At 39.5% G+C, this 18,359-nt stretch overlaps 1 long non-coding RNA gene across 2 annotated transcripts; it reads right to left on the reverse strand.

The window, feature by feature from the left end:
* Window positions 1-678: 678 nt before the first annotated feature.
* LOC105373459 (uncharacterized) lies at window positions 679-18,019 on the reverse strand. Of its 2 annotated transcripts, XR_939780.2 has the most exons (4): window positions 17,923-18,019; window positions 14,330-14,440; window positions 3,400-3,516; window positions 679-2,975 (listed from the first exon to the last, which is right to left on the reverse strand). It is a non-coding gene; the product is annotated as an uncharacterized LOC105373459 (long non-coding RNA). The 2 variants fall into 2 exon arrangements; XR_001739315.1 differs by having other exon boundaries at window positions 679-3,516.
* Window positions 18,020-18,359: the final 340 nt, after the last annotated feature.

The following is an 18,359-nucleotide window of genomic DNA, read 5'->3' on the forward strand; positions in this document are numbered from 1 at the left end:
GCTTCAGAGGGCACTATGCTATGAAATTCACACTGAAATTCACACCTATGTTTGTATAACACACTACAGATGCCTAAGAAAATGTGAGATTCCTATCTCAAAGATTGGAGGAGGGGCCGATGCCCCCTGCCCTAGGAATCTTACTTAAGAATCTTCTTTATGAAGTATCACAAATACCCAAGGGATAAATACACAAGACTCAGTTGAAATTTGTGGGAACTTCACCATTACAAAGAAATCTTTTTGATTGCCTCTGTTGTAGAGTTGTAGAAATTTGGGAGGGTTTTTTGCACTTTTTTTTGGCACTCTTTAAAAAAGTTTATATTTTGCCTCTTTTTCATTATTTCTAGGTAACTTTATTTTCAATCATTAAAGTACTATTTGGCTTTTGAGTATTCTTTACACATTTAACCTTCTATCTATCTAAACTTTTACTTTCTGATTTCCATTTTCTCTTATTTCTCCTCAGCTCTACAGTTTTACTGTTTTATTTCTCTAAATCTTTTGGTACATGTTTACTTCCCTTTTTTGTTTGGCCAAAATTTCTTTTTAACTTTTCAGTTATCTTCAGGTATTTTAATCACTTTATCTCTTTTCTTTATATATATATATATGCTTACATTGAAGCATTCCATCATTTTGTTTCTTGTCTTTCTAAATTTAAGACTTTCCCCCTTTTATTCACTTGATTCTTTAGGCCTTTAATTTCTAATTTTTTTGTTTTTATCATTTGTTTTGTGTCTTCATTTCCTTTAAATATTTTGATTTTAGCATTGGCCTATAATGTCAGGCAGAAATCTTTGCCTTGCTGTGGGGTAAAAGTTGCAAAGTGAAGGAGTAGAGAGGGAGTCTATCCCCTCACCCTGTCTGCTCCTCCTAAACTGTGCCTCTGGGGCCCCTGAATTGGATTCCCATCAATTTCTATGTCAATCCTGAAAGTCTTAACCTAAGTAATGTGTGAAGCCCTCGGGTTTAAATTCCTTCCTTGAGACAATAGTGTTTCTACTACGTATATCACACACAGTTCATCCCTTTTATGAGGCAGCCATGGCCCAGCCTGGGGTCATCCATTGTCCACTCTGGAAAATCCCGAGGCCAGGAAAGCAGGGAGCTGCACCACAGACAAGAGCGGTGAGAGGCACATGGCTTCAAAACTGTTTTGTCCTTAACACCAGACCAATCAACCATATCAGAGGGCACTGGCTGCTCTGGAAAAGTCTTGCCATAGACTCAACCGTCAAGAGAGTACACTGGTCCGGAGGAAGGTCATCCTTCCTCCACAAATTCACAGCCTAGGGTTCAGAATTTGTCTCTGTCTCAAAGTAGCAATCACAATTCCAGTATGGAGTAAAATTAGAACAGGATACGCTATATTCTAAGTTATTATTGTAGCATCCAAATAATCAACCTTCATAGCCAATGAAATGAAAATAATCATTTTAATCTGAACAAAGTTTAGGCCTTTCCATACCCTCCCCATTCCCTATCTTATATGATCTTCATATGTAAGCCATGAGAAATAAATGATCAACAAATGTACCCAAGGACAGAGAGTAGGCGGCAAAGCCAGAACCAGAACCCAGGTCCCTGCCTTGCCCCAGCATTCTTCCTACTGTGCCAGGTGCCAGGCCACCTCTTAATGTCACCCACAGCAAGAACCTCCACACCAACGAGGAGAATGTGCCTGCCCACACAGCATCATTTCAGGAGCCATAGCCCACCTGCAAGCTGGGTCCTGAAACTATTTTCTATCTCAAAAACAGACCAGGGACACATCAACTTAAATTCATCTTTTTTTAGAGTGGAATTGACAAGGGCAAGGGCAAGAAAGAATGATGTAACTGGACACCTGTATGACACAGAGCTATCCCAAGAAGGAGAAGCAAGCCTGGAATATGGAAGCCAAACAAAGCACCTCCACTCCCCCAAGAAAAGTCTCCCCACAAAGTTCTGCTCCATCAGAGCCTGACTCCTGTTGATCAGGGAGCTCCATCATGAGACCACAGCTTTAATATTTCTGTGTTAAAAAAAAAAGTTGCTACAGAGGTCCTAATTTTCCAAATTTGGTCTTTAAACAATATATCTATGTCCAGTATCTGGGACAAAACTTAGCCTCAGGGTTCCAGGTCACTGAACATTATATAACATTGATTGAAACTTTTTGTGGAACAAACAAATTAACTTCCTGAATGAAAAATACAACCTTACCTATTACGGAAAAGTAAATCCCAAATGTAAAATTTATCTCTAATAGTCTATAAGGAAAAAAAATCCAAACTCAATACCTCTTTGCCTATTGAATAACACTAATCCCATGCAATCACTCTTTGGTAACCCTGCTTGTCTCTAGTTTGACTCCAGCTTGTTAAAACTAACCCATTTTTCTTCTATGAAAGATGCAATCAGTAGTAAGGAGACTGGAACTCTGGTGATCCTGCTAATCAATCTATGTTCCACAAATGAAAACACTCCCCAATTGGTAATTAGTTTCAGTGATGAAGTAATTAAATATTTCACTCTGCGTTCCCTCTGCTCTGCATCTGTGGCTTCGTAAATGTTACATTTTCCAAATCCCCACATGCAATCTTGTTTTATTTATGGCTAGGCCTTTACAAGCTCTGAAATTCTATCTAAACAGCACAAAGGCAAAGGGAAACTTGACAATTAAGTGTTGAACTTGATCATTCCCGTCAGCCAGGCCAGGTAACACAGACACACCTGATCCATACTTGGCCCCGAGTTATCAAAAAAACATGATTACATAGTTTTAGGAGTTCAAGACATAAAAGTAGAAGCCAAATGTTTTCTTATTTAACCTTGATGAAGTGCTTTGGGGAAATGAGAGATGAGCCTGAGTCTTCCAAACAGATGTCTGTCTCAGTTTGATTTCATAACAATGGTTCCTCTCCTGGAGTTCTCTCCACCATTAAAATGCAGCACTCGTATCCAATGGAGGAATGAAAAATGCCAAGGCCCTAATGATTCAAAATTGCACTTTTAGTTGCCTGACCAAGATGGAGTATGACATGTTACCAAAACCCATTTCTTAACATTTAACATTTATTCAAATAATTGGCTGTTGTGGATACATCTGCCAGAAGTTGAGGCCAAATGGTTTTGTTAAGAAATCTTTCATCTTTCTCTTCATATGCATGGTCAATCATCAACTGGTTATTATAAGGAGCCATACACGGATCCAGAATGAGCAGTCCTCAAGGCTTGAACACCAGAGGCATTGATTACATGAAATTCTTGGTAGTGTCTCACAGTCACTCCCTACCCATTGACCTCTGGAAAATTGCCATTGGTAATAAGTAATCATGTGCATTTTTTAGGTCCTTATCATGGATCAAACTCTTCAAGTTTTATAATTTTAAAATGACAGCCACAAACTCCTACCTCTAAAGAATTCTCGGAGGTCAGTGGGAGAAGAAAGAATAAACCAAATCCATGTGCTCTTTCAGGTCAGGGAGAACATAAATAATGTGCTTTGTCCCAGAGGAAATCTTAACTAACCTGGCATAGAAGAGAACCAAATAAGAAGGGGTGAAATGAGCAGCACATCTTCATAAGGAATAAGATTGTGTTTAAACTCATAGATGCAGCGGAAAGAATCCTACACTAGGAATCAGAAGGCCTGGCCTTTAATCCTGGATATAGCACCCAATAGCCATCCACCTTGACAACTCTGAGAGCCCCTTGAGGGAATGGCCCACTCTCCCAACAGGGCAATTGGGTGCATGTTCCCTCAGGTCCATCCCACACTGACATGCTGTATTTCCAGGAAATGTTCCCAGGCTCCAAAAACAGGAAAAGGAAGCACCGCCGCTAAGCAGTAAGGCATCTTAACCTCCCAGCTGAAAAATTCACTAATGATACTAGTAGCAGCAACAGAAAGAGCAGCTGCCATTGATTAAGTGAATACCTACTAGTTACCAGGTACTACGCTAAGCATGTTTTATAAACTATCTCATTCAATCCTCACAACTCTATGAGGTAGGCACCACTGTTCACCTTGTAAACATTAGGTGTAGTTTCAGTAGTTGCCCAAAGTCAAAGTCACAGGGCTAACAAGTAACAGCGTTTGAATTTGAATTTTCTTTAGTCTGACTCCACAGCCAAACCTCTTAATTGCTACATTCATCTGTCTTCACACATGCAAACCTACAAAAGGCGGTGCTCAGAAATCTGCAGTTTAGTTGTTAGCAGACTTTCTAATGATAACTTTGCGGTCCATAAAAACCACCCATTTGCATGTGGGCATTTTATATGTGTGTGTGTGTATGTGTGTGCATATATGTGTATACATATATATGTGTGTGTGTACATATATATGTATGTTAAAAATTCTCTGATTCCTAGTGCAACTTCATAATAAATTACTGTGTCAAAATTTTGTAAATAATATTTCTTAAACCAGATAATATTGAACATATTATAATTAAACTAATTCATTAAGGGATACTATTAACATTTACACTTCCAAGATATCAGATTTTCAAGATTTTTCTTATAAATGAGTATAATAGGCACATTTTGAAATTATTTTAGAGTTTTAGTTGTTATATTAGTATTTGAACGTTTCCATTTTGTTACCATATGCTTACATTTTCAATGCTTCTGTGCAACTTAACAATGTAGATGATTTTCTGAAACTAAAATCCTACAGTCCCCTTAAATACCTGTCATGTGTCACACAACAATGTTTCACTCAGCGACCACATATACGACAGTGGTCCCATAAGGTTATAATACCTTATTTTTACTGTACATTTTCTATTTTTAGGTATGTTTAGATACACAAATACCACTGTGTTAGAACTGCCTACAGTATTCAGTATAGTAACATGCTATACAGGTGGGTATCCTGGGATCAAATAGGCTATCCCATGTAGCCTAGTTGTGTAGAAGGCCATACCATCTAGTTTTGGTAAGTACACTCCATGATGTTTGCACAATGACAAAATCACCAAATGACACATATCTCAGAAGGTATCCCTGTAGATAAATGATGCATGACTCTACTTCATATTTAAATATTTACAGATATTTATTTAATAATTTTTACAGATATTTATTTCTCCACTATAAAAGTCATTCTGATTTAAGCTAAAAAATTCAGAAGACTCATACAATAAGCAGAGTAGTCAAAATATGTCAGCAATATGGCAATATAATGAAGAATGTCTCAAGTTTCATTTGTCTGTCTCCCAAATTCTTATCTTCCTCAGCGTAAATGTTTTTTCCCTTGGCAAATATATTAAATGGAACAATGGTGTCAACAAAAAACTTATGCCAGACATCACTCTAAAACATCCCTCTTATGAAGAAAAAGATATGAACATGCTTATGTACCTGCAAGTTGAAAACAAAGACCAAAGGTATTTTTTAATTTGACAAATAAAAGTTATACATATTTATAGTGTACACATGACATTTTTAAGGACCGAAGTTCTTTCGTTAATTTGGTTACAGCAATATAAGATCAGCTTAAGAATCTTTTTACAAGGTCGATTAAAGCTATGAACAAAATACCTCAAGAAATTGCAGAACTGGACATTTTACCAACCTGAAAGATTATCAGCACTGTGTTTGGGGCCAAAAGAAGGAAGAAATAGGAAAGGGTCTGCTTTTGAATAATACTGTTAGTAGACAACATGTCAAATGACCTAGACATTAATCTAAGAGATCATTAAATTAAAACATGTTATTTTTGTTTGTTTGTTGAGACGGAGTCTCGCTCTGTCGCCCAGGCTGGAGTACAGTGGCACAATCTCGGCTCGCGGGTTCAAGTGATTCTCCTGCCTCAGCCTCCTGAGTAGCTGGGACTACAGGCATGTGCCACCATGCCCAGCTAATTTTTTGTATTTTTAGTAGAGACAGGGTTTCACCATGTTAGCCAGGATGGTCTCAATCTCCTGACCTCGTGATCCACCTGCCTCAGCCTCCCAAAGTGCTGGGATTACAGGTGTGAGCCACCACACCCGGCCTAAAACATATTTTAACTTTGCATTTATGAATGTATAGACAATAGTAACTGTTCAATTAATAACACTAGTTAATACTAATGAGGAAGAAATGATTGGAAAAATACTATTTGTTCTGTAGAAAAACATCAATACAAACTATTGGAAGTAAAATAAATACTTAAGGTGTTAAAATCAATACTTTGTAAGTCTGTAACAAATCTGATATGAAGGAAAAGTGATGTTGGTTTGTGACCTGAAGTGGTCTTGCTGCAATGATAGGACAGTAGGACAACAGGTTTTACATCTCCCTCAACATCTGACATCATGGGATTCAGATAAGAGCTTTATTCACAGGGTCTCCTGTACAAACATCTGAATTCTATATTAAATCATGTTATCATGATGGTGATCCTAATAAAACCCATGCACTACAGTTTATACGAAGAAATTTGATCACAATATAACTCTGTTGTTTTAAATAAAATTATCTTAGCTGTCCAAAAGAAAAATTTTAAAGAGGGTATGAGCTAGTAAAGAAAAAAAAATTTCATGGGGTGAGGGAGAGGAATAAGCTCCACTTTGCAGATTTGCTTAAGGACAATTATTAGCTTCAGGAAGTAGTTTGACACCTGAATTAACTTAATTGGAAATTGCAAAGTCCCTATAAAAACACACTAAAGTACATTTATAAGGCTTATGGATTCGAAGCAAAAACTCATCTTTGAAAAATGAAGTTAATAATATGGTTCATTAATATTTAAGTAATACTTTGAATGCTAATTGTTTGAATACTAATAACTAAGAATTACTAAGACCAGTAGAGCAACATATGAAAAAATTATCATTTTGGAGTTATATATTCAATTGGATTTAAAATCCAATTATATTCCCATAAGAAATTTCGGCATTACATCTACCAATGAAAAAAGAAAAAAGAATCCTGTTAAATTTAAATAAAGGATCATGTATTTGATGTTGTAATTTAAACTTTAAAGAGACTAAATCACCTATAGTCTGGCTAAGGGAAAGAAAAGGTTTCTATTCACTAGAAGACAATAAATTAATATGAAAACTCTTCTACCTTTTTCCATACCACTGAGCAAGCATTATTTCTTTGAGAATTTGTGTAAACATCATTTATCTTAAATGATGACTTAAGAATTTGAAGGCATCATCATTAAAAAGTATCGATGAGGACTTGTGTGCAGCCATTTCAAGAATAAAAACTATGTTTAAAAAGTTATCACCAAAGAAGTAAGTTTTAAAATACTAGAATTTGTTATATTTTCTCTAATAATGTATATATTATTTTTGTCATAATTATAAAATATGTGATAAATGTTCTCTCCAAGCCCCACATAGATGCCTCCTAATCCTGTCCAAGTTAGTCTGTACACATATTTTTATTATCTGAGTGTTCCATATTTTGAAAGTGTATGTGAAGCATTGATTTATTCTAAAATTCTTGTTTTACAGGGGAAAAAAGAAACATCCAGAGAGGTTTCGTGTCACCAACTAATTAGGGATAAAAGCCAAGATCAGAATCTAGAATGCCCTACTTTTACCCAGCCAGTATTGCTCTGATTGGGAATGTTGGGTACTAAAGTGTACTTTATGCTAAACAAACTATGAGCCCTCCTGTCCATCCTCCCAGAATCAGCCTTGCATCTTCCACCTCCATGTCTCTGGTCATGCCAAGCTCCCTAGCTGGAATCCCCTCTCTCTCTCCTGTCCATTGCTAGAGTGTTTCTCATCCCTAAATGCCACTTGCCTGACCATGCTGAACCACACAGCTCTGTCCGTCTGAACATTGCTGGTGTCCACTATCCCAGTCACCCACACAGCATTTCCTCAGAACACAACGGCTGGTTCCATTTACCCACCGATTCCATCCCTGTAACTAGGTTGAGTCAGGGATTGCTTCTAAACTTTCTGCAAATCCTTAGTGCCTCTAGAAAATGCCTTATAGGTGCTTGAGATGGTTAATATTGAGTGTCAACTTGATTGCATTGAAAGATGCAAAGTAAAGTTCCTGCGTGTGTCTGTGAGGGTGTTGCCAAAGGAGATTAACATTTCAGTCAATGGACTGGGAGAGGCAGACCCACCCTGAATCTGGGTGGGCACCATCTAATCAGTTGCCAGTGCGGCTAGAAAAAAGCCGGCGGGAGAAGATGGAAGAAGCTGACTTGCTGAGTCTTCTGGACTTTGTCTTTCTCCCACACTGGATGCTTCCTGCCCTTGAAAATCAGACTCCAAGTTCTTCAGCTTTTGGACTCTTGGACTTACACCAGTGATTTGCCAGGAGATCCTGGGCCTTCAGCCACAGACTGAAGGCTATGCTGTCGGCTTCCCTACTTCTGAGGTTTTGGGACTCAAACTGGTTTCCTTGTTCCTCAGCTTGCAGAAGACCTATTGTGGGACTTCACCTTGTGATCATGTGAGTCAATACTCCTTAATAAACTCCCCTTCATACATATATCTATCCAATTAGTTCTGTCCCTCTAGAGAACCCTGACTAATATAGTGCTTATCAAAAGATCAATTAGTTAATTGACCACAGACTTAAATACCTTCCATTGGCTCTTAGAATCCTAGATCTGTAGACAGTTGGGGCTGCAAAATCTAAGAAGAATCATGTACCCCCTACTGTTCATTCTGTGATAAGAACTCTGTGGCCTACATGGAGGTCACAGAGCCAGAAAATAGTAGCCTTGAGAACAAACCAGGTATGACTGACTCCAAACAAAGCACATACTGCACCATCTTAATTTTTAAAGTTCATTGCAAGCATGTTTATTTTACAAGCAAAAGAAAGCTAATATGAAGACTTCATAATTCCAAACCTCTTTAACTAATTCAGTGTCAATTCTAAAATAATTCCTTACAAATGTACTGCCTGATTTAGAACCAAGATGTCCTCATGTTTAATAAACTAGCATGCATGTGTGTGAAAGGGATCTTAAATTTGGCATCTCTTTCCAGGCTTTTTTCAGTTCAGTATTTTCTGAATTCCTACCATGTGACACTGTGTGAGGTGCTGATATCTGTACTAAATGCTAGTAAAGCCCAAGCTTGAATGAACACCTGAACATCACTGTGTTTAGGAAGATAGAAAGGGTGGGTTCAAATCTTGGCTCCACCACATATTAGCTATGTGATCTTAAACAAGTTACTTAACCATGCCTCAGTTTCCTCATCTGTAAAAGGTGAATAGAAATTATTCCTACCTCATAGAGTTGTTGGGAGAGTTAAATAAGGTAATACTTATTGTAAACAAGTGCTTGTAAATGCTCAGAAATATTTTTATTGCCTTTTTTCTCCTGGGCTAACCATTTCACTTTGAATTCTTGGGTCATGAATTAACAAAAGGCAAAGATCCCAACCACCTACTTGCAGGGACTGGTCTCCTAATAACCATACCCCAAAGGCTACATAGTTAGTCTTTTATGTAACAGTGCAACCCTGGAAGGACTCAGGACTCCAGCCAGGAAAGTCTTAAGGCTAGAAGCACTGAGGAGCACAGCAATCTCTTGGCTGTCTATGATTACGTGGCATCCTTCGATTTAAAATCCTAAGAAAAGGGTGAGCTTGGATTCAGGGGTGCACCCCAAAGCATTCCACAGGCTGGATGCCACAGAGAAGAAAGCAGTTCCACTCAGGGTCAGACCCGGAAAGAATAGCTCCCTTTATTCTCAAACACAATGAATTTCTAATATGATGGACAGATTAATATTATTAACTTTGGCAAATCCACAGCCCTCCAACCCCTTGAGGGTAGAGAAGTGACTTGTTGATTTGGAAAGTCTCCAAAAATAATTTCACGCGAGAAATATTTCTCTTGGATAGTCCCTACAGAGGAAGTGTGCTAAATTAGAAACTGTAACCTGGAGGTATCGTGTAACGACACTGATGCTCTTGTTGGTTGAAAGGTTAGGAAGGCATGCCATGTCCCAAAACATGGACTTGCTCAGGACACCAAAGCAAGGGGTAATGAAATTTCCAAATTTTGATCCTGGAGAGACTATGGCTTGAGTACGAAGAGCCAAAGGCAATTACAGACCACACTAACCTGGATGAGAAGCAAGACTTAAATTGTGAGGAATTTCACCCACACAACTGTGGCAGGGGAGAGGAGATAAAGAACCTCTGTGTGTGTTAAAAAGGAGAGGTTTCAAGGAAAATGGGAAGGAGCTCTGAGCTCTATGGGATAAAATCTCAGGGGCTTCCCTTAAAGGAAAACCACTTATGGGTTTATACCACACAGGGGGACCAGAAGACAGACCTGAGCCCACTTGCTGAGAAAATTCAGACCTTCAGTATAACTAACCAAAGTTGGAATGAGCGATCTGTCCTACTCGGAAGCAGCTACTCATCTTGAACAAACTCTGAAGGGCCTGAGAGTTCAGGAAATATAAGAACTAAGAGACGGGACGCACCCAAGAGATCACCTTATTTATCTCCTGACAGTTAGGTTGTTCTGTCCAGTCCTCCCTCCAGTGTTTGATCTCCCTCCTTGCTAAGAGTCCCCAGTCCCCTGGAGACACATGCTGTCAGGAAGTATTTCATGATTTCTATCCTATTTTCTTTTCCTTTGAGTTTGAACACCACAGGTCTTGTTTAATGAGGCCAGGTTTTTCGTGGAAGTTTTGGGATTGAACCAAGGAAGAGAGGATCAGGAACAGTCAGAAAGCTGTGCACATTTTCAACAACTACCGACAGCAGTGAGTGCTTGGGAAGCAGTGAGATCATAGGCTGGGAAGATGGGAAATCATCAGGAATCCCGGGCTGATGAAACTTTAGAGGTCTTTGGAAAGCTCCCCTGATTATCACCTCCTCTTCTCTCTCTCCTAATTTACCTCCAGGAACTACAGACCTTTATCTCACAGTGAGAGCCAAAGCTTCAAAAGGGTGATTAGTACTGTTGCCAAAGGAGGAACAGTCAATATCAGCTCTTTTCCAAACCCAGTCCTTGATAGAAATGCTCTCTGTAAACTCAGATGAAGAGATGACATCTGTTCTGATTATTGTGATATAGCCCACTGCAGAGCACAAAGCACATAGTAGATCTTTAATAAGTATGTGTCCAGTTGAGTGGCATCAGACATCTAAAGCAGCAGGAAGCACTTCACAAATCAAGTTATAGAAAGCAACTAGCCAACATGTATGGCTGAAGCTTTTAAGGAGAACTTTGTCAGCTTCTCATTTTAATTGCCCCAAATGACCCTACTGAAAGGTGTCCTTGTTTATCATTTTGAGGAAGACACCTACAATGCAACTGCCTGCCTGGCCTGTGGATGTTGCAAAGATCAATGTGAACCCATCATCTCTAAGGCAGGGTGGGATTAGCCCAGGAAACAAACTGCGCTGCCACTAACTAACTTTAAAACCCTGTTCATTTGTGCCTTAGTTTCTCCATTGGTAAAATGGGGATAATTGTATTTAGCTTACAGAGCCATTGTGAGATTAACTGCTTAGACACATGCCTGTTTAACAGTAAGTGCTAAATAAATGTTAGCTCTCATATTTCCCCTTTCTCCTGTTCCCAAAACTGCCTCTTTCCTGTGTTCCTCATGTCACCATCCACCCAAGCACAAATCCAGAAAACCCAGTCTCATTCTATTAATAACCCCGTCCAGCTCACTCTCTGTTACCAACCCCCGGGCCCCAATCAGTCTCCAGTCTTCTAAAGTCTATGTATTAATATCTCTTGCCATCCTTTATTCACTGGCTCTGTCTTAGCTCAGGCCCCAGGCTTTTCTTGCTGGATTATGTGATATGATATTATCCTCTGGGTTCCTCCCTGTCCTCCTTCAACCCGTCTTCCACAGTGCTTCTAGAGTAATCTTTCTAAGCTAAGGATCCAATCATGTCATTCTCTTCTTAAATCCATCAGCAGTTTCCACTCAATATAACTTCTGTTTTTCCCTCAAAACTCAGTGAAACTCAATAGCCAAACTGTGGAAATAAGCTAAGTATCCACTGATGGATAAATGGATAAAGGAGATGTGGTGTGTGTGTGTGTGTGTGTGTGTGTGTGTGTGGTGTGTGTGCACAATGGGATAATATTCCAACTTAAAAAAAGAAGGAAATTCTGTCATTTGTGACCACAGGGATAAAACAAAAGATATACTAAGTGAAATAAAACACAGAAAGACAAATACTGCACTATTGCTGCAACATCTTAAAAAGTCAAACTCATAGGAACAGAGAGTTGAACAATGGTTACTGGGGGTTAAAGGGTGGGCAAAATGGGGAGATGTTGGTTAAAGGTTATAAACTTTTAGTTATAAGATGAATAAGTTCTGGATGCCTAATGTACAACATGGTGACTATAGCTAATAAGGTATTCTTTACTTAAAATTTGCTAAGAAACTAGATCTTAAGTATTCTCACCATACAGACACACACACACAAATGGTAGCTATATGAGATGAGAGACATGTTAATTAGCTTGATTGTGGAGATCATTTCACAATATGTGTGTGTGTGTGTGTGTATATATATATATATATATATATCTCAAAGTATTATGCTGTATACCCTGAATATGCAGTGTAAGACTTTTATTTGTCAATTATACCTCAATAAAGCTGAAAAAAACTTACTGAAACTATTTTCACTGCCCCCAAGCTGATTCACACACTCTGTTCTTGATAATACCCAGCACACAGCTGTATTATAGCTCTTGAGACACTATTCTCTGTCTTTCTCACTAAGTTATCAGCTCCCTAACAACAGCACCATCTTTTACTTGAATTCTCTAATGCTCATAGATGTTTGCTGGATGGACAGAATGATGGATGGATGGCAAAACATTGCTGGATGGACAGAATGACGGATGGATGGCAAAACAGAAGAGACTCCTCAAAACACTTGTCAGACCAACGAGGAAGGGATCAAAGCCAAGATTTTCCAGCAGCCAAAATAATAAAGATCATGGAGCCTATAGGAAAAAAATTGCTTTGCTAGAATCATCTCCCATATGGGGGCATGTGAACATTGAGGAAAAACTCTCAGGGTTGGTTTCAAATAGGAGACCTTGGCAAAAACGATTTCAACAAATAACACAAATGGAAGCAAAACTGGGGAAGAGACCCAAACTATTGTTATTAATTACTCTGTCACTTTAATTCATTATATTCTAGCACAAGCCAAGCTAATTAGATCTTATTTTGCAAACAAAATTTTCATGGCCTGCTACATAAAATTCTTCTCTAATAGGTAGCATCTGCTGCATTTATTTCATCCATTAATTTTGCAACCTTCTCCAAAACAAACATTAGGCTCATGTGATGTGATTCAGACAGTAGAAATGAGCTATGCAGCCAGGGGGTGCACATGCAATCTTGGTCCCCAAGTCAGCCACCCTTCCTGGATGTACCTTCCCAAAGAGTCTATCTGGATGGGTGCTGGCCAGCTAGCCCAGTCCCCTGTAGGCTGTGCCCACAGAGAAGAGAGAAGCCCAGTTATCCTCCAAGAGAGCCTGCATTCAGAACTCATCCATGTCCTGCAATCTGAGATGAATTCTGGTGTTAGGTGTGAGGGCTTTAAATACAACAAAAGCCTAGAGAGGGGAGAGGAACCTACGGGCTGTTCTAATCAGAGGAAACTTCATGGATCAGAAAAAACTGGAATAGGGCCTTGGAATATGATTGTATCAGAACAGAAAGGAGACTCTTCCAGTGTGGACCTACAGTAAAATCAAGGGACAATGCACTGTGCCTTCCTCCCATCAGAGGGCAAAGAAGTAGGTACAAATTTGCAAGGTAAATAATGTGGCAAGAACTCTCTGAGTACACTTGGCATGCCCAGCTCTGTGCTGATCAAGAGATTCAAAGAAGCAGACAGCATGGTCTGTGGCCTTGGCAAAGAGATGACTTTCATATATAAAGTAAAAATGCCAAACGGATCAAACTCCCATAAGGGCCTTACCATGGGTCTCACCCAGCCTTGTCTCCTCCCAGGTTTCCAGCAGACTCTGCTGGAAAGCACAGAAGCTTTGGCTTTGCATCTGCTCAACCCATCTCCAGCCTTGATCTTTCTCATGATGAATGTGGATGGCTGATGCCCCCTTGGGGGCCTGCCAGCCCTCGTTTCTTCTCCCAGTGACCAGTGTTTTCCTTGGTGAAAGACCTTGAGAAGGTGGATGAATGAGGCGAGCATGTGCTCTGCCTCTGTGGAACTCACATCCCAGTGTTCGCTCATGAGCTAGAAATCAGCAATGCAGCAGGCACCAGAAGGACTACTCTCCTAATCCAATCTATGCTTTGGAGCCTACTCCCACTCCATTGCATGTACTGGGAATCATTTTCTTCTATATCTGCACACACACACACGTACACACACACACACACACATACCTGGAAACCTCTCTTCATCCTTTGATCTGTTTGTCTGTCTTATCCACTTAAATGAAAACTCTATGAAAGCAGGAACAACATTGGTTGTGTTTACCATTATACAATCAGGTCCTAGAAGAGTATTGAATACATATCAATACATATCTATAAATGAATGAATGGAGACATAAGAGTATATCTTCTGGCCTGAAGGCAGAAAAGTGTGTGAAATATGAAATAACTGTCAGAAGGCCCCTGTGAATGGAGTAGAGGAAAAAGCCCCATAAAAGGCAGGACAATTTTCTCACCACCAACACTGTACCTCTGTTCACAGCTGAAGCCGGTATGGCCAATTGCCCCTTTTACTTTTTTCCAGGTCTATTGAGGTATAATTGACAAAAACTGTATATATTTAAGATGTACAACATGATGTGATATACACATATATTGTAAAATAACTGTCCTAATCAAGCTGATTAACGTATCTATCACCTCACAGAGTTACCATTTTGTGTGCGTGTGTGGTAAGAACACTTAAGATCTGCTCTTTTAAAATGCAAATCAAAGCCACAATGAGATATCATCACATACTAGTAAGAATGGCTATGATTAAAAAGTCAAAAAATAACAGATGCTGGTAAGGTTTCAGAGGAAAAGGAACATTTATACACTGCTGGTGGGAATATAAATTAGTTCAGCCATTGTGGAAAGCAGTGTGGTGATTTCTCAAAGGACTTAAAACAGAATTACCATTCAACCCAGCAATCTCATTACTGGGTATACACCAAAATGAATATAAATTATTCTACCATAGGGATGAGTGCGGTGGCTCGTGCCTGTAATCCCAGCACTTTGGGAGGCCAAAGCCGGTGGATTACCTGAGGCCAGGAGTCCAAGATAGCCTGGCCAACATGGCAAAACCCTATCTCTACTAAAAATACAAAAACATTAGCTGGGCATGGTGGCGTGTGCCTATAGTCCCAGCTACTTGGGAGGCTGAGGCAGGAGGATCAGTTGAACCCAGGAGGCAGAGGTTGCAGTGAGCCAAGACTGCACCACTGCACTCTAGCCTGGGCAACAGATTAAGACTCCGTCTCAAAAAAAAAATACATTCTACCATAAAGACACATGCATGAATATGTTCATTGCAGCACTATTCACAGTAGCAAAGACATAGAATCAACCTAAATGCCCATTAATGATAGATTGGATAAAGAAAATGTAGTACATATACACCATAGAATACTATACAGCCATAAAAAGGAATGAGATCATGTCCTTTGCAGGGATATGGATGGAGCTAGACACCATTATCTTAAGTGAACTAACACAGGACAGAGAACCAAATACCACATGTTCTCATTTATAAGTGGGAACCAAACATTGAGAACATGTGAACCCAAAGAAAGGAACAAGAAAGGCCAGGTGCAATGGCTCATGCCTGTAATCCCAGCATTTTGGGAGGCTGAGGCGGGTGGATCACAAGGTCAGGAGTTCAAGATCAGTCTGGCCAACATAGTGAAACCCCATCTCTACTAAAAATACAAAAAATTAGCCGGGTGTGGTGGCGGGCACCTGCAGTCTCAGCTAGTTGGGAGGCTGAGGCAGGAGAATGGCGTGAACCCAGGAGGCAGAGCTTGCAGTGAGCCGATATTGCACCACTGCACTCCAGCCTGGGTGACAGAGTGAGACTCCATCTCAAAAAAAATTAAAAAGAAAGGAAGGAAGGAAGGAGGGAGGGAGGGAGGGAGGGAGGGAAGGAAGGAAGGAAGGGAGGAAGGAAGGAAGGAAGGAGGGAAGGAAGGAGGGAGGGAGGGAGGAAAGGAAGGAAGGAAGGAGGGAGGGAGGGAGGGAGGGAGGGAGGGAGAGAGGGAGGGAGGGAGGGAAGGAAGGAAGGAAGGAAGGAACAAGAGACACCAGGGCCTACTTGAGGGTGGAAGGTGGGAGGAGTGAGAGGATAGAGAAACTACCTATTGGGTACTATGTTTATTACTTGTGGGATGAAATAATCTGTACAACAAACCCCTATGACAAGCAATTTACCTGTATAACAAACCTGCACATGTACCCCTGAACCTAAAATAAAAGTTTATAAAACAGATCTGTTCTTTTTGCAAATTTCAAGTAAAAAAAAATAGAGTATTATTAACTATACACAGCATGATGTACATTAGATCCCCAGAATTCATTTAGTTTAGAACTGAAAGTTTGTGCCCTTTGACCAGCATCTCATCCTGCTCCCCAGCCCCAGTAACCACCATTCTACTGTCTGCTTCTAAGAGTTTGGCTTTTTTAGGTTCCTCATATAAGTGAGATTGTGCAGTATTTGTCTTCCTGTGTTTGGCTTATTTCACTTAACATAATGTCCTCCAGGTTCATCCATATTGTTACTAAAGGCAGGATTGTTTTCTTTTTTATGGCTGAAAAATATACCATTGCATATATACCACATTTTCTTTATTCATTCATCTGTTGACAAACACTTACGTCATTTCCATATTTTGGGACTTGTTAATGCTGCAATTAAACACGGGAGTGCAGATATCTCTTTGAGATACTGATCTCATTTCCTTTGGATATACAGCCAGAAGTAAGATTGCCTAATCATAAGGTAGTTCTATTGCTAATTTTTTTAGAAACCTTCATACTGTTTTCCATAACGGTTGTAGTCTTTCCCTTTTAAAAAAGCGAAAACTTTTTTTTATTTCCAACTTTTACTTTAAGTTCAGGGATACATGTGCAGGATGTGCAGGTGTGTTACATAGTTAAATGCGTGCCATGGTGATTAGCTGCACAGATCACCCCATCACCTAGGTATTAAGCCCAGCATCCATTAGCTATTCTTTCTGATACTCTCCCTCTTTCCAGCTCCCACCCTTCGACTGGCCCCAGTATGTGTTGTTCCCTCCATGTGTCCATGCATTCTCATCATTCATCTCCCACTTATAAGGGAAAATGTGCTGTGTTTGATTTTCTGTTCCTGTGTTAGTTTACTGAGGATAATAGCTTCCAGCTCTATCCATGTCCCTGTAAAGGACATGATCTCATTCCTTTTTATGGCTGCATAGTATTCCACGGTGTATGTGAACCACATTTTCTTTATGCAGTCTATCATTGATGGGCATTTAGGTTGATTCCATGTCTTTGCTATTGTGAATAGTGCTGCAGTGAACATACATGTGCATGTGTCTTTACGGTAGAATGATTTATATTCTTTTAGGTATATACCACATAATAGGATTGCTGGGTCAAACAGTAGTTCTGCCTCTATGTCTTTGAAGAGTCACTACACTGTCTTCCACAATGGTTGAACTAATTAACACTCCCTCCAACAGTGTGAAAGCATTCCTTTTTCTCCACCACCTTGCCAGCATCTGTTGTTTTTTGACTGTTTAATAATAGCCATGCTGACTGGTCTGAGATGATATCTCATAGTGGTTTCGATTTGCATTTCTCTAATGATCAGTGATGCTGAGCTTTTTTTCATATGTTTGTTGGTCACACGTATGTCTGCTTTTCAGTAGTGTCTGTTTGTGTCCTTTGCCCACTTTTTAATGGAGTTTTTTTTTTCTTGTAAATTTGTTTAAGTTCCTTATAGATCCTGGATATTATACCTTTGTCAGACAGAGAGATTACAAAAAATTTGTTCCATTCTGTAGGTTGTCTGTTTACTCTGATGATGGTTTCTTTTGCTGTGCAGAAGCTCTTTAGTTTAATTAGATCCTATTTGTCAATTTTTGCTTTTGTTACAATTGCTTTTATCATCTTCGTCATGAAATCTTTACCCGTGCTTATGTCCTGAATGGTATTACCCAAGCAGAAAAAATTTTAAGCTTTAGAAAGAAGAGAGAGAGAAAAAAAAACAGAGAGAGAAACATGTGAGGGGCGTTTTTTTTTTTTCTGCTAGAACTTAAATCCATTTATACCATCTGTCAAAGTCTTCTCATTCAATTGAAAACAAAAACACTATGTCTATTAGAGTATTGGAGGTAAATGAACACTCAATATGTTAGGAACACTTAACAACAAGAGAGCCAGAGAGTGACTAGGT

Source organism: Homo sapiens, chromosome 2 (assembly GCF_000001405.40).
Source record: "Homo sapiens chromosome 2, GRCh38.p14 Primary Assembly".
Lineage (NCBI taxonomy): Eukaryota > Metazoa > Chordata > Mammalia > Primates > Hominidae > Homo > Homo sapiens.